This window comes from Homo sapiens, chromosome 13 (assembly GCF_000001405.40).
Source record: "Homo sapiens chromosome 13, GRCh38.p14 Primary Assembly".
Lineage (NCBI taxonomy): Eukaryota > Metazoa > Chordata > Mammalia > Primates > Hominidae > Homo > Homo sapiens.
Window position 1 is genome coordinate 23588360 of NC_000013.11, and position 18132 is coordinate 23606491.

Below are 18132 nucleotides of genomic sequence, written 5' to 3' on the forward strand. Positions count from 1 at the left end.
CTGTGAGATGGGTTCTATTTTTGTCTCCTTATGGATGTGTAGCATCAAAGTGACAATGTTAAGAAATGCTTCACAATTTGTCTGCCTTTTTCAGTAGTTAGTGTAGCATCCCACTAGACGATTCTATCCAGACTAATTGCTCGAATATGGTATGTACTGATTGACTTGTCAATTTCTTTGTCTCATATTTTGTGTAAATGCTTTGGCATTATCCCCGTTTTTTCTTATTAGTTTTAATTCCACCTAAATTACACATTTTTTGCTTTTAGAACTTAATACATTTTTTAAAATGTAAGATCGTATCATGAAAGAAATAACCTGAAGCATGTGCTTCAAAGAATGTGATTTTTATCTTCTCACCCTAACCCTGTGTCTACACAAGCAGTAAGTTGCATGGTTGAGTAATTGCTGGTTGATTTTGAGATATGCCAGCAGGAAAAAAAGTTATGACCAAGTAGCTGGAAAAGTGAAAAAAGCTGTTTGAATTCACTTCAAATGGGTCATTCACTCAACAAAGGTAAATGATTTTTCATTGCCCCGGCAATGTGACCTGCCCAGGCAGTGGACGTGGTTCATCTGGGTTCAGCCACTTCCGGGGCACCCGTCAGCTCACCCCTGATAGCCGCTCAGCCTGCAGCGGAGGCAGCTCTGCCCCCTCTGCCTCCTTGGTTGTTGTCGTTGTTGTTTTTCTTGAGCTGTTTGCCCATGGTTCTGGTTCTGTGCTCTGGTTTCTTTCTAAGTCAGATGATCCACTTGGGATCTGTTAGTTTTGGAAACTTCAACTTTAAAGGAAACAGAACCGCTGTTTCTCTACCTGATGGTGCAGCCAGATGAGGCTTCGCTTTTTCTTTTTGATCTCTTCTCTGGACATGTGTGGATCTGTAAAAAACAGCCAGATTTGGTTCTACATTTTAGATCATTCCTGGTAAAGATAAAGAGGCTTGGTTTATCTTGTATTGAAATGTTAGGTTAGTGCCTGTGATTTCATCACTCGTCAATGACTTTTAGATGTTTTAAGATGAATGCTTATTTTTCTGCCATACATACTTTGCTCTATTCTGGTTTGGGAAAGAATTCATAAATGCAAAATATTGTCTGTCTGCTTCTTAGTGAAGACGAAGTTGTCAAGATACAAGCCTGGTGTCTTCATTTAATAGCACATTGTCTGTCAGGGCGTATGTGACACAGGAGCTGTAGAAAGGGATGCTCCACCTGGGTTTGCATCCAGCTGTGCCTCTCACTAGCAATGTGACCTTGGGCAGGTTACTTAGCCCTCTCTGAGTTTCCCCATCGCTAAAATGGGAATAATGATAGGATCTACCTTCTAGAGTAGTTGTGAGGATTAAGTGAGTTAGCATGCTGAAAATAGTACCTGTCACATAGTTGTTATTTTATCACTATTATTACCCTGTTGGCATTGTCCAAACCCAGATAAATGGGAGGTTTATATAGTCACTATTTGAATAGAATTTCATGCTGAGTGAAGTAGATTGGCTGCTGTAGAGAACATGGGTAGAAAATATCAATAAAGGCGGGTATAGCCTGGGAACTCAGAGCCTGTAAGAGTTTTGCATATAATGTATAGGTAAACAGAGCTTCAATTCTCATAATATGAGTTATAAAATAATTATATATTATTTGTCTTTTTTCTTTTTTAAAGGTGGTTTCTTTTAAAACACAAATAATATTTATTACCTAGTCTATATAGTAAGTGGTAGATATTATATAGTAAACAAAGCACAGTCACTGATGTTTTTAATATTAACTGCATCTTCCTATCTTTTATTTAGAACTCTCCAACAATAAATACATTTGATAAGAAAGATGGCTTTAAAAGTGCTACTAGAACAAGAGAAAACGTTTTTCACTCTTTTAGTATTACTAGGCTATTTGGTAAGTAAAGTCCTTTTTTCTTTCATAAGAATGTGGTGAAAGAATTCATGTACTAATAAGTAGTAGGAGTACCAAAATCATTTTATTTTTTATTTTTTTTGAGACAGAGTCTTGCTCTTTTGCTCAGGCTGGAGTGCAGTGGTGCAATCTTGGCTCACTGTAACCTCTGCCTCCCGGGTTCAAGTGATTCTCCTGCCTCAGCCTCCCGAGTCACTGGGATTACAGGCACCCACCACCACTCCCAGCTAATTTTTGTATTTTTAGTAGAGATGGGGTTTCACCATGTTGTCCAGGCTGGTCTTGAATACCTGACCTCAGGTGATCCGCCTGCTTTGGCCTCCCAAAGTGCCGGGATTACAGGCATGAGCCACCACCCCCAGCCCAAAATTATTTTCTATTTCTGATCCAATATTATGTTTTTATCTCTTTCAAATGGCATTTTATTATTTTTGCATGTAATTAATAAGTGAAAGATTGCTGCTCATTCATGATATATGTAACAATTGTTGAAATTATCTTATTTAAATGTAGGTGAAGTCATAAAATTGCAGTGTTACTTGTGGCACTATGATGATGATATTATTTTGCCTTTATAGGCATATATCTCTTGTAACATATTCTAGAAGCTAAAAGACCATAAATTCTAATTTGGAGCCCATGACCTACACAGTTTATGAATAATTTAGAATAGATTTTTAAAAGTTATTATTTTATATAGTTGTTTATATTCTTCTTGGTTCCAAAAAGCAGGAAACACAGATGGAAAATTTTAATATTTGAAAGTTTGACAAAAGATTTATGAATGTGTTCAAAAGAACAAAGTTTATTTAATCTAGTGATAAAATAATGATCTACAGATATATAAAGAAAGATTTACACTGAAGACAGTATGCAAAGTTTTCTTGAAAGACAAGGTTAGGCTGGATGCTGTGGCTCATGCTTGTAATCCCAGCACTTTGGGAGGCCGAGGCAGGTGGATCATTTGAGGTGAGGAGTTCAATACCAGCTTGGCCAACATGGTGAGACCTCATTGTTACTAAAAATACAAAAATTACCTGGGTGTGGTGATGCACACCTGTAATCCTAGCTACTTGAGAGGATGAGGTAGGAGAATCGCTTGAACATGGGAGGCGGAGGTTTCAGTGAGCTGAGATCACGCCACTGCACTCTAGCCTGGGCAACAGAGTGAGACTTTGTCTCAGAAATAAATAAATAGATACAAATAAAAAAAATAAAAAAATAAAGACAAAGTGGGATTCAGGTGAATGTAGGAGAGCTTCCCTGCTGTAATTGGAGGCTGTTAAACATTGAATAATGGTCTAAGAGGAAGGTTGTGTAATTTCTTTCTCTTTACGGTCTCTCTGTGGTGGAAGGGAAGCTCCTACCCCTTATAAATAAGTAAACTGCAAGACTGGGAGTTGAGGAGGAGTTGAGGCAAGAATCTTTATAGCCTTAAAAATTTTCTTTCTTTCTTTCTTTTTTTTTTTTTTTTGAGACGAAGTTTCGCTTTGTCACCAGGCTGGAGTGCAGTGGTGCGATCTTGGCTCACTGCAACCTCCGCTTCCCAGTTTCAAGTGATTCTCCTGCCTCAGCCCTTGCAAGTAGCTGGGACTACAGGTGCGCACCACCACACCTAGCTAATTTTTGTATTTTTGGTAGAGACAAGGTTTCACCATGTTGGCCAGGATGGTCTCAATCTCTTGACCTCGTGATCTGCCCACCTGGGCCTTCCAAGGTGCTAGGATTACAGGTGTGAGCCACCGTGCCTGTCTGTCTCAAAGAATTTTCTAGTCTCAAACCTCACCTTGAATTCTTCCTCCTGCTTGCCCTAGATATTAAACCTTTGACCTTAAAGAGGTTGTTAGATATCTTCACAGATATTCCTGCTTCAAGGTGGAGAAGGTTTGTACAGAATTATATGCATCAAAAACAATGTCCTGTGCTCAACTGTGTGGTAAGCATTAGACAGAACAGCAGTGTCTGTTACCCCAGTTCCTCCTAAGATTTTCAGCTTCCATTAAGGAAAACAGAACCGCGTCAGTAGCACTATTCAGGGCATTCTTGCTTAGGGTAAGGGGTTGGACCAAACGTCTTCACCAATTCTGTGATGCTGCTAATACCAGCATTACTCATGAAATACTGTCCGTTAAGCAGATAAACATACTTTTCTAGGATGATATCTTACAAGGAGAACTTGTTGTTTTCAGAAAAAATAAGAGAAAAAAGCTATATTTTGGAAAATGACAAATAACCTCTGTTTTTGCCTAAGTATACATTTTCCATTTAAGTCCTATGCTGTGAACCAAAGCATACTGTTAGGTCCCAGGCAGTGGCTCAGTGGTAATCAGTAAAGGCATAAGCTCAGATTTGGATGGCACTTCTACTTTGAAGAGTTCCGAGAGTTGGGCCACTACTGCCATCTTTATCATCATCACCAAGGATTTTACTGGTGTCCTGATTGTTAGAAATTATTATTTGAAAGACATCCTCTAAGGAAATGTAGTTCAGTTGAAAAGGGTTGAAACTTCCTCATCAAAACCGCATGGCAGATAAGTCTAAACGATAATTGCGAAGTTCTTGTGGCTACGCTCTTGTGGCTATACTAATTATTCAATTTATTTAATTCATTATACTTGAATATGTTTATATTTCTTAGATTGAAAAATTTTTCAATTCAGATTTTTTTCTGGTAGCAAAAGGACCTTGGGTCATATATCAAAGAAAGTCATAACTGTTTTTTTTTTAAATATCTTCTTACTTAGAGAAGAGAACAGCTCCTAAGTCATGTCATATCTTGAGTCCCAGAGGGTATCTGAGGAGGATAGCAGTTAATTCCAAGAAAATGGGATACCCTGTTTAGAGAATCAATGAGTATTCTCTGGAATACAGAGAAGAATTTGGCTTATTGATTTAGTTGTTCCACTGACTTATTCAGAAAGTGTGTTTTCTTCCTAAAGTGAACATTGAATTGACTTGAACTGATATTTACATTCAGTGATTGTGTGACTAATATTGAAAATATTGTTCCTTTCTTGCAAAAAAAAATGTTTAACATACTTTAAGATAACATTTTGTTAAATTTTTTTTTTCAGTCATGTAAAGTGACTTGTGAATCAGGAGACTGTAGACAGCAAGAATTCAGGGATCGGTCTGGAAACTGTGTTCCCTGCAACCAGTGTGGGCCAGGCATGGAGTTGTCTAAGGTATATTGGATACATGGCAAAGTTGTGTATCTGTGTTTGTAAAATGCATTCGTCTTAACTCAATTCTTTGAGTTAATTATTAATGAAACTTTGGATACCATGACAGAATTATTGGATCATTATGTCACTTTAGCCAAATATCATACAATTCCTTTTTTAATACTTTTGATTCATGTGTCTTACTGAGATAAATAGGTTCTCAAACCCAGAATTCAACAGATGTCATTGTTTTATATAATTTAAAATTTGTAGTGTTTCACTAAAACAGTAAAATTTTTAAGGTTAATTTGCATTAATCAATAACAACTGAAATTCCACTGAAGATTTAAAACTAAAGCATTGTGTGGTGGCTAGCAAGATGGCCGAATAGGAACAACTCTGATCTGCAGCTCCCAGCGAGATCAGTGCAGAAGGCAGGTGTTTTCTGCATTTCCAACTGAGGTACCCAGCTCATCTCATTGGGACTGGTTAGACAGTGGGTGCAGCCCATGGAGGGTGAGCCAAAGCAGGATGGGGTGTCACTTCACCTGGGAAGTGCAAGGGGTCCGGGTACTCCTCCCCCTCACCAAGGGAAGCCTTGAGGGACTGTGCCATGAGTAATGGTGCACTCCAACCCGGATACTACGCTTTTCCCATTGTCTGTGCAACCCACAGACCAGGAGATTCCCTTAGGTGCCTACACCACTGGGGCCCTGAGTTTTAAGCACAAAACTGGGCAGCTGTTTGGGCAGACACTGAGCTAGCTGCAGGAGTTTTTTTTTCATACCCTAGTGGCATCTGGAACACCAGCGAGACAGAACCATTCACTCCCCTGGAAAGGGGGATGAAGCCAGGGAGACAAATGGTCTAGCTCAGCAGATCCAACTCCCATGGAGCCCAGCAAGCTAAGATCCACTGGCTTGAAATTCTCACTGCCAGCACAGCAGTGTGAAGTCCACCTGGGACACTCAAGCATGGTGAGGGGAGGGGCGTCTGCCATTACTGAGGATTGAGTAGGTGGTTTTCCCCTCACAGTGTAAACAAAGCCACCTGGAAGTTCAAACTGGGTGGATCCCGCCACAGCTTGGCAAAGCCACTGTAGCCAGACTGCCTTTCTAGATTCCTCCTCTCTGGGGAGGGCATCCCTGAAAGAAAGGGAAAGAAAGGCAGCAGCCCCAGTGAGGGGCTTATAGATAAACTCCCATCTCCCTGGAACAGAGCACTTCAGGGAAGGGGTGGCTGTGGGTGCAGCTTCAGCAGACTTAAACGTTCCTGCCTGCCAGTTCTGAAGAAAGCAGCAGATCTCCCAGCAAAGCACTCGAGCTCTGCTAAGGGACAGACTGCCTCCTCAAGTGGGTCGCTGACCCCCCAGCCTCCCGATTGGGAGACACCTCCCAGCAGGGGTCGCCAGACACCTCATACAGGAGAGCTCTGGCTGGCATCTGGTGGGTGCCCCTTTGGGACGAAGCTTCCAGAGGAAGGAACAGGCAGCAGTCTTTGCTGTTCTGCAGCCTCTGCCAATGATACCCAGGCAAACAGGGTCTGGAGTGGACCTCCAACAAACTCCAGCAGACCTGAAGCAAAGGGCCTGACTGTTTGTAGGAAAACTAACACACAGAAAGGAATAGCATCAACAAAAAGGGCATCTACACAAAAACCCCATCCAAAGGTCACCAGCATCAAAGACTAAAGGTAGATAAATCCACAAAGATGAGGAAAAACCAGTGCAAAAAGGCTGAAAATTCCAAAAACCAGAACATCTCTTCTCCTCCAAAGGATCACAACTCCTTGCCAGCAAGAGAACAAAACTGGCAGAGAATGAGTTTGACAAATTGACAGAAGTAGGCTTCAGAAGGTGGGTAATAACAAACGTCACCAAGCTAAAGGAGCATGTTCTAACCCAATGCAAGGAAGCTAAGAATCTTGAAAAAAGGTTAGAGGAATTGCTGACTAGAATAACCAGTTTAGAGAAGAACATAAATGACCTGATGGAGCTGAAAAACACAGCACAAGAACTTCATGAAGCATACACAAGTATCAATAGCTGAATCAATCAGGCAGAAGAAAGGATATCAGAGATTGAAAATCAACTTAATGAAATAAAGCGTGAAGACAAGATTAGAGAAAAAAGAATGAAAAGGAACAAACAAAGCCTGCAAGAAATATGAGACTATGTGAAAAGACCAAACCTACATTTTATTGGTGTCCCTGAAAGTGACGGGGAGAATGGAACCAAGTTGGAAAACACTCTTCAGGATATTATCCAGGAAAACTTTCCCAACCTAGCAAGAGAGGCCAACATTCAAATTCAGGAAATACAGAGAACACCACAAAGATACTCCTCAAGACGAGCAACCCCAAGACACATAATCTTCAGATTCACAAAGGTTGAAATAAAGGAAAAAATGTTAAGGGCAGCCAGAGAGAAAGGTCAGGTTACCCACAAAGGGAAACCCATCGGACTAACAGTGGATCTCTCTGCAGAAACCCTACAAGCCAGAAGAGAGTGGGGGCCAGTATTCCACATTCTTAAAGAAAAGAATTTTCAACCCAGAATTTCATATCCAGCCAAACTAAGCTTCATAAGTGACGGAGAAATAAACTCCTTTACAGACAAGCAAATGCTGAGAGATTTTGTCACCACCAGGCCTGCCTTACAAGAGCTCCTGAAGGAAGCACTGAATATGGAAAGGAAAAACTGGTACCAGGCACTACAAAAACATACCAAATTGTAAAGACCATTGACACTATGAAGAAACTGCATCAACAGGCAAAATAACCAGCTAGCATCATAATGACAGGATCAAATTCACATATAACAATATTAACCTTAAATGTAAATGGGCTAAATACACCAATTAGACTGGCAAATTGGATAAAGAGTCAAGACCCATCAGTGTGCAGTATTCAGGAGATCCATCTCACGTGCAAAGACACACATAGGCTCAAAATAAAGGGATGGAGGAATATTTACTAAGCAAATGGAAAGCAAAAAAAAGCAGGGGTTGCAATCCTAGTCTCTGATAAAAGACTTTAAAGCAACAAAGATTGCAAAAGACAAGGGAATTACATAATGGTATAAGGGATCAATGCAACAAGAGGAATGGAAGGGCTAACTATCCTAAATATTTATGCACCCAATACAGGAGCACCCAGATTTACAAAGCAAGTTCTTAGAGACCTACACAAAGAGACCTGGACTCCCACACAATAATAGTGGGAGACTTTAACACCCCACTGTCAATATTAGACAGATCAACGAGACAGAAAATTAACAAGGATATTCAGGACCAAACTCAGCTCTGGATCAATTGGACCTAATAGACATCTACAGAACTCTCCACCCCTAATCAACAGAATGTACATTCTTCTCAGCACCACATCGCACTTACTCTAAAATTGACCACATATTTGGAAGTAAAATGCTCCTCAGCAAATGCAAAAGAATGGAAATCATAACAGTCTCTCAGACCACAGTGCAATCAAATTAGAACTCAGGATTGAGAAACTCACTCAAAGCCGCACAACTACATGGAAACTGAACAACCTCCTGAATGACTACTGGGTAAATAACAAAATTAAGGCAGAAATAAATAAGTTATTTGAAACCAAAGAGAACAAAGACACAATGTACCAGAATCTCTGGGATACAGCTAAAGTAGCATTTAGAAGGAAGTTTATAGCACTAAATGCCCACAGGAGAAAGTGGAAAAGATCTAAAATTGACACCCTAACATCACAATTAAAAGAACTAGAGAAGCAAGGGCAAACAAATTCAAAAGCTAGCAGAAGACAGGAAACAACTAAGATCAGAGCAGAACTGAAGGAGATAGAGACACCAAAAAACCCTTTAAAAATCAATTAATCCAGGAGCTGTTTTTTTTAAAAGATTAACAAAATAGATAGATCGCTAGCTAGACTAATAAAGATGAAAAGAGAAAAGAATCAAATGGAAACAATAAAAAAATGATAAAGGGGATATCACCACTGATCCCACAGAAATACAAACTACCATCAGAGAATACTATAAACACCTCTATGCAAATAAATTAGAAAATCTAGAAGAAATTGATAAATTCCTGGACACATACACCCTCCCTAGACTAAACCAGGAAGAAGTTAAATCCCTGAATAGACCAATAACAAGTTCTGAAATTGAGGCAATAATTAATAGCCTACCAACCAAAAAAAGCTCAGGACCAGATGGATTCACAGCCGAATTCTACCAGAGGTACAAAGAGGAGCTGGTACCATTCCTTCTGAAATTATTCCAATCAATAGAAAAAGAGGGACTCCTCTCTAACTCATTTTATGAGGTCAGCATCATCCTGATATCAAAACCTGGCAGAGACACAACAAAAAAAGAAAATTTCAGGCCAATATCCCTGATGAACATCAATGCGAAAATCCTCAATAAAATACTGGCAAACTGAATCCAGCAGCACATCAAAAAGCTTATCCACCACAATCAAGTCGGCTTCATCCCTAGGATGCAAGGCTGGTTCAATATACTCAAAACAATAAATGTAATCCATCACATAAACAGAACCAATGACAAAAACCACATGATTATCTCAGTAGATGCAGAAAAGACCTTTGACAAAATTCACCCCGTCATGCTAAAAACTCTCAATAAACTAGGTATTGATTGAATGTATCTGGAAATAATAAGAGCTATTTATGACAAACCCACAGCTAATATCATAGTGAATGGGCAAAAGCTGGAAGCATTCCCATTCTCATTGAACAATGAGAACACATGGACACAGGGAGGGGAACATTACACACCAGGCCCTGTCATGGGGTGGGCGACAAGGGGAGGGATAGCATTAGGAGAAATACCTAATGTGGATGATGGATTGATGGGTGCAGCAAACCACCATGGCACATTTATACCTATGTAACAAACCTGCACGTTCTGCACATGTATCCCAGAACTTACAGTTATATATATATATAAACCCTAAATCATTGATAACAGAAATCATGAATGCTACTACTTACTGGGACTTCTTTTTCTTAAAATGAATGTCAGCATTACTTGTCAAGAAGTAGAGCCTGCCAGTGTCTTAAATAAAGATGCTCTGAGATAGCAGGCATTTTCCAAACCATGGTTTTGAACATTCCTTTGACAGTATGTGTCTTATTATTGATCTCACCACAGTGAGTGTATGTTACTCCCAGGAGCACTTTAAATATATTCATTTCAACCACTATGTGCTAAGAAACTGTGTGTTAGTGTGTGTTATATCAGGACACATTTCACAGTCTTGGATGTTTTGAAGCCTGCCTTTTCTTGTGAGCACGTTCAGAGCTATACATCCATTTGCTTTATTTGCTGATCTTTTGAAGATGTTACTAGTTGTGGAGAAGTGATGTATTGTTTTGTTTTAAATAAAACATCAAAGCCTTTCTGTTAGAAAAGGAACAATAGATTTTTCTTTTTATTTAAAGGGACTTTTAAAGAGAAGTCCTTTTCCCCTACAGACTGCCATTATCTACAGTTGAGTCTTGTCATTCATAGATTTTTGATCAATGATCTATAAACAGCAGGAAACAAAGAATTATGCATTCTGCAAGTGGCTTCTGATAGATAGCGTTTCTCTCTGGCTTTTGTGTTAAATGAGTGGTGGCTTTTAGTATCCTGGGCTTTACATTTGGATTGAAACTGACTGACCTTCAAAGTCTGTGTGATATCTCATTAACAGTAGCATCTCAACAGGTATTTTTCAACCCCTGTTGATTACAGTAACAAGTACTTTCAGACATAGATTTTTCTGTGTGGGGTGTAAAAAGATTAATTTTTAACAGGTTGACATATCTAGGATCAGTGAACAAAGTATTTAAAAATGCCATCATGCCCAAGAGGAAAATAGACTGCTGATGGAAAGAGTGAAACTCTGTAAAATATTTGAAGAGATTTATTCTGAGCCAAAAATGTGTGACCAGTGGCCCATGACACAGCCCTCGAGAGATCCTGACAGCATGTGTCCAAGGTGGTAGGGCTACAAGTTGGTTTTATACAATTTAGGGAGACATAAGACATTACTCAACATTGGTTCAGTCTGGAAAGGCAGGACAACTGGGAGTGGGGAGCAGGTAGGGGAAGGGGGATTCCAGGTCACAGGTGGATTGCAGGATTTTCTGATTGGCTATTGGTTATTATCTAAAGACCTGGAGTCAATAGAAAGGAATGCCTAGAGTCAATAGAAAGGAATGTCAATAGAAAGGGTTAAGATAAGGGGTTTTAGAGACCAAGGTTTTATCATGCAGATGAAGCCTCCAGGTAGCAGACTTCAGAGAGAATAGATTGTAAGTGTTTTCTTATCAGACTGAAAGAGTCTGTTCCATCAGTAATTCCGGAAGGGAGGAGGGTACCATGAGGCATGTCTGGCGCCCCCTTTCCATCCTGTCCTGAACTAGTTTTTCAGGTTAACTTTGGAATGTCCTTGGCCAAGAGGGGGGGTCCATTCAGATGGTGGGGGCTTAGAATTTTAATTTTCGTTTAAAGATGATGACATTTTCTTTTCCTCAAACATTCTTCTTTTCCCAAATCTCAGTGAAAATCTGAATGAAACTTCACAGATTCTGAGACATGAGTGAATAGTTTCTAAGAAATTACTGTCTTATATTCATCCTTTGAATCTGCAGAATATAACCTTAAGTTAATTTTTGGAGAATCAGACCATAAGATGAAAGTCCTATTAGCCTTAATATTTTTGTTGATTAAGAAATCATTTTTCCATTTCTGATTTCATATATATGAGGAATTTAGAGGTTGTCACTCTATCCCAACAGGAAGTAAAAAGCTGAACAAACTGAAAAGTCCGCAGCTCTTAGATCTGCAAGAGAAGTGAGGTCGCAGGCAGCTACAGAGAATCACAATACACTGCTGCAGAAGCCTCCCCTGGAGCCAGCACCAGGGTGGGAAACCTGCACTGTTATTGACAGCCTGCTGTAGCCTAGGTTTGGAAAAGTCTGAGAGTTAAAACTCCAGGAGGACCCACTCATAGAGCACCCTCCCATGCTTTTGTGAGTTTTACTTCCAGGAACTCAAACCGATTTTCATAGTAAATGTCAAAATCAAAACAAAACAAAACAAAAAAATCCCTTGTTTTTCTGACAGGGGAGGCAGAAAAGGAACATTTTGAAATATGCTAGAGTGCTCTTTTTCTTAACAAGGACTGCCCTCAAGAGAAACACATACACCAAAGGCTCACCTGCTGGGGTTTTATCAGAGCCTAACTGACCTGGGGAAGGGAAATACTGACTCAGTCTGCTCCAGCCATTCTCTCCCATTTAAGGGAGAGGCACTGGGGAAGCTTACAGTACAGAGGCACAGGCCTGCACAGGACTATGGAAAGCTGCCCTTTCCTTCACATCTCACCTCCACATTACTAAAGGCCTGTTTATAGCAGCTCCTTCTACCCAGTGTATCATGTATGACATTTGACAAAAATGTACAAAGCATACTAAAAGGCAAAAAATACAATTTGAAGAGACAATGCAAGCATCAGAACCAGACTTGGCAGGGATCTTGGAGTTATCAGAGAGAATCAAGAACAACTATGATTAATATGCTAATAGCATTAATCATGAATATTCTGATTTAATATGCTAATCAGGGAAAGGAACAGAAGAAATATTTGAAACAATAATGACTTAGAATTTTCCCAAGTTAATGCCAGACACCAAACTGCAGATCCAGGAAACTCAGAGAACACCAAGCAAGATAAATGCCCAAAAATGACACCAAGTATATCATTTGCAAATTGCAGAAAAACAAAGAAAAAACCCTCCAAGAAACTAGAGGGAAAAAAACGCCATATGTACAGAGGAGCAGAGATAAGAATGACATCTGACTTTTACTCAGAAATCATGCAAGGCAGAAGAGAGTGCAGTGAAACATTTAAAGTATTGAGAAAATAGCACCTAAAATTCTGTACCCTGAGAAATTTTCCTTCAAGAGTTAAGGACAAATAAAGACTTTCTCAATCAATTGAGGGAATTTGTTACCAGTAGACCTGCCATGTAAGAAATGTTAAAAGAAGTTCTTTAGACAGAAGGAAAATAATATAGGTCAGAAACATGGATCTACATAAAAGAGCATCAAAGAAGTGCTAAGTGAAGGTAAAATAAAAACTTTAATTTTCCTATTCTTAATTGATGTAATAGATGATAGTGTGTTCAAACTAATAATAGAAACAATGTATTTGATTGAGTATGCTTGTGTGTACACACACACACACACATAAGTGAAATTAATTACAGCAATGATACAAAGGGTGAGGAGGAGGAATTAGAATTATTTTGTTGTTATAAGGTATTCACACTATCTGTGAAGTAGTACAGTGTTAGTTGAAAGGAGGCTTGGACTGGTTATAAATGTATAGTGCAACCTCTAGGGCAACCGTTAAAACAAGTATAAAAAGAAGTATAACTGATATGCTAAGAAAGGAGATAAAATGAAACCACATAAAATGCTCAATTAAAACTACAAAAGGGAAAATGTGGAAGACAGAAATAAGAACAAATAAGAAGGCCAAGAAATGGAAAACAGTAATATATATGGTAACTATTAGCCCAACTATATCAATAATCATTTTCAGTGTCAGTGATCTGATGTACCAATTTATAAACATTATCAGAGCAGGTCAAAAAACAAGATCCAACTCTGTGGTCTACAAGAACCCACTTCAAATATGAAGACACACATAGATGAAAAGTAAGTGGATGGAGAAATATATACCATGCTAACACTAATCAGAAGAGCAGGAGTAGCTATATTAATTTCAGACAGAGCAGACTTCAAAGCAAAGACAGATGTCAGGGATAAAGATGGACATCATATAATCATAAGGGAGCTAATTGTCTAAGAAATTATAATAATCTTTAATGGGTATGCCCCTAGCAACAGAGAATCAAACCATGTGGGACAAAAACTGATAGAACTACAAGGAGATATAGATAAATCCACTACTGTAGTTGGAGACTTCAACACTATCAGAAATGGACAGATTCAGCAGGCAGAAAGTCAATATGGACATAGTTGGACTCAACACCATCAATCAACTGGATATAACTGACACCTATAGACAACTTCATTCAGCAACAGCAAAAGACACATTATTCTTAAGCTGTCATGGAAAATTCACCAAGCTAGACCACATATGGGGCCATAAAACACACCTTAACAAAGGTAAAAGCATAGAAATCGTATAGTGTCTGCTGTCAGATCACAATGGAATAAAACTAGCAATCAATAACAGAAAGATAGCTGGAAAACTCTAAAATACTTGGAGATTAAGAACACACTTCTAAATAACACATGGGTCAAAGAGGATATTGCAAGATAAATTTAAAAATATTTTGAACTAAATGAAAATGAAAACAGAACTTGTCAAAATTTGTGGGATGCAGTGAACCAGTGCTCAGGGGGTACTGAAGGCACATATTAGAAAAAAGAAAGAGCCAAAATTGGTGATCTAAGCTTATACCTTATAAAACTAGAAAAAGAAGAACAAATTAAATTCAGAGTAAGCAGAATAAAATAAATAACTATTAAAGCAGAAATCAATGAAATTAAAAACAGAAACTCTGGAGAGAGTGAAGAATCACCAAAAGGTGATTCTTTGAAAAAATTCAATAAAACTGATGGTCCTCTAACTAGGCCAACTTAGAAAATAAGGGAGAGGACACAAAGTACTAATATCAGTAATGAAAGCATGGACATCACTATAGGAACATTAGAAATGCTGTGAACAACTCAGTGCCCACACATTTGGTAACCTAGATGAAATGAATCAATTCCTTGAAAGACGCAGTCTGACAAAGCTCACACAAGAAGAAATCCACAGTCTGTATAGGCCTATATTGACTGAAGAAATTGAATCAATAATTCATAACCTTCCAAAACAGAGAGCACCAAGTTAAAGTGAATTTACTGGTGAATTCTACCAAAAATGAAGAAGAAATTATACTCATTATCCACAACTTCTTCCAGAATATAGCAGAGAAAATACTTTCTAACTCATTCTGTGAGGCCAGAAATCACCCTAATGCCTAAACCAAAGACTTTACAAAGAAACTATAGACCAATATCTCTCATGAACAAAGATACAAAAATTCTCAACAAAATATTAGCAAATTGAATCCAACAATGTATATTAAAAAAATCACACACTGTGACAAAATGGGATTTATCCCACATACACAAGGCTGGTTCAGCCTTTGAAATTCAGTTAATGTAATATGTCACATCAGTGGGCTAAAGGGGAAAAAAATCACATATAGCAGTAAGTGCACAAAAAGCATTTGAAAAATCTAACACCCATTCATGATTAAACAACAACAACAACAAAAACCTCTCAGTAAACTAGGAATGGAAAGGAATTTCCTCTACTTGGTAAAGAATTTCTACAACAACCACAACAAAACCAAAACTCTAGAGTTGATATCATACTTAATGATGGAAACTAGAAGCTTTCCACTAAGATCAGGAACAAGGCAAGGATGTTCCCTTTCACCACTCATTTTCAGCATCATACAAGAAATCCTACCTCATGCACCAAGACAAAATAAAAAAAAAGAAATAAAAGGTAAACTGATTTGGAAGGAAGAAATAAACTTCTCCTTGTTCACATATGGCATAATCATCTATGTAGAAAATGCAAGAGAATTAACAGAAAAACTCCTGGAATGAATAAGCAATTATAGTAATATTTCAAGATACCTGGTTAATGTACAAAAGTCAGTAACTTTCATATATACTGTCAGTGAACAAGTGGGATTTGAAATTAAAAACACAATATAATTTATATTAGCACCCCCCCCAAAATAAAATACCTAGGGATAAGTCTAACAAAATATGTACAAGATCTTTATGAGGAAAATTACAAGACTCTGATGAAAGAAATAAAAGAAGAACTAAATAAATGGAGAGATATTCCATGTTTATGGAGAGGAAGATTCAATATTGTCAAGATGTCAGTGTTTCTCAACTTGATTTATAGATTCAATGGAATCCCAATCAAAGTCCCAGCAAGTTATTTTGTAGATATTGACAAACTGATTCTAAAGTTTATATGTAGAGGCAAAAGACCCAGAATAATCAACACAGTTATTTAGAAGAAAAAGTTGGAGGATTGACACTACCCACATCAAGACTTACTGTAAACATATAGTAATCAAGACAGTGTGGTATTGACAAAAGAAGAGACAAACCAATCAGTGGAACAGAATAGAGAGCCCAGGAATAGACCCAGCTAAGTGTAGTCATCTGGTCTTTGACAAAGTAGCAAACAACATGATGGAGAAAAGATAGAGTCTTCAACAAATGGATCTAAAACAACTTGACATCCACATGCAAAAAATGAATCTAGACACACCTAACTCAAAACAGGTCACAGACCTAACTGTAAAATGCAAAGCTATAAAACTCCTAGAAGATTTTCTCTAGAAGACCTTGGGTTTGGTGATGACTGTTTTATATGACACCAAAGGCACAACCTATGAAAGAAAGAATTAATAAGCTAGACTTAATTAAAATTGAAAATTTCCACTCTGCATAAGACACTGTTGAGAGAATGGAAATACAAGCCAGAAATTGGTGGAAAACATTTGTAAAAGATATCTGAAAAAGGACTGTTATTCAAAACATACAAAAAATTCTTAACACTGAGAAAACAAACAAATCCAATTTAAAAATGGGTAAAAGACCTTAACAAACACCTCACCAAAGAAGATACACAGATGGCAAATAAGCATATGAAAAGATCCTCCATATAGTATGTCATCAGGGAAATGCAAATTTAAGCAACGCGATATCACCGTACACCTATTAGAAATCCAGAATCCAGAATCCAGAACACAGACAACATTGAAGGCTGTTAAGGATGTGGAGTAACAGGAGTTCTCATTCCTTGCTAGTGGGAATGCAAAATGGTACAGCCATTTGGAAGACAACTTGGCAGTGTCTTACAAAACTAAGCATACTCTTATTATTTGATCCAGCAATTGAGCTACTTAGTATTTTATCAAAGGAATGGACACTTAACGCTTATACAGATACCTGCACACAGATACTTATAGCAGGTTTGTTCATAATTATGAAGACTTGAAAGCAACCCAGCGGTACTTTAGTAAGGGGTGGGTAAATAAGCTGTGATCCCTACAATGGAATATTACTCTGCACTAGAAGGAAATAAGCTATCAAGCCGTGAAAAGACATAGAGGACCTTAAATGCACATTACCAAGTGAAACAAGCCAATTGGAAAAGTCTGCTTCCTGTATGATTCCAACTATACGACATTCTAGAAAAGGCAAAACTATGGAAACAGTAAAAAGATCACTGGTTGCCATGGGTAAGGGTGAGGGAGGGATGGATATGTGGGCATGGAAGATTTTTAGGGCAGGGAATCTACTCTGTGTGATACTGTAATGGTGGATGCATATCATTCTGTGTTGTTCAAACTCACAGAATATAACACCAAGAATAAACCCTAATGTAAACAGTGGAACTTAGGTGACAGTGATGTGTTCATAGATTGTAAAAAATGTATCATTCTGGTGCAGGGTGCTGATAAGAATGAGCCTTTGTGTGTGGCGGGGGAGGGCGGGGCATGTAAGGACTATCTCTCTACCTTCCTCTCAATTTCGTTATGAACCTAAAAACTGCTGTAAAAAATTGTGTTTCTAAACAGAAATACTCCATCTTCTGAGAACAGTATCTGATAACAGGTGCTGTATTTCATATTCCCATGGCTATCCAGAAGAAATATTTTTCTCTAGATAGCAGTTTTCCATAAGGATTGAAAGAGCTGTCCCCCTGTGAAGTAAGAGCCAAAGGGAAGCAACCAGAACATTTCTGCCTTTATGTACTTATTTCATTTGTTCATCTTCTGTTCCCATATTTATAATTTTTTTAAAAAAAAAGACCAGGACAAATTGAATGAGGAGCAATAAAAGTAAAGGTAATAATGCCAGTGAAAAATGAGATTCTTAGGACCCACTCAGGTGCACAGTTGTATACCATGTTACCACATGCCTGCCCTGAGC

At 38.3% G+C, this 18132-nt stretch overlaps 1 protein-coding gene across 10 annotated transcripts in view; it reads left to right on the forward strand.

The window, feature by feature from the left end:
- Window positions 1–18132, forward strand: part of TNFRSF19 (TNF receptor superfamily member 19) — a 105682-nt gene that overhangs the window by 17948 nt on the left and 69602 nt on the right. For 9 of the 10 annotated variants that reach the window (XM_047430440.1, XM_047430442.1, NM_148957.4 and 6 more), the window contains 2 exons: window positions 1791–1893; window positions 4986–5096. The exons of the other annotated variant lie outside the window; for it this stretch is intronic. In XM_047430440.1, the coding sequence (XP_047286396.1) occupies window positions 1825–1893; window positions 4986–5096 (180 nt within the window). In that variant the 5' untranslated portion in view covers window positions 1791–1824. The remainder of the gene's footprint in view (window positions 1–1790; window positions 1894–4985; window positions 5097–18132) is intronic. 10 annotated transcript variants of the gene reach the window in all.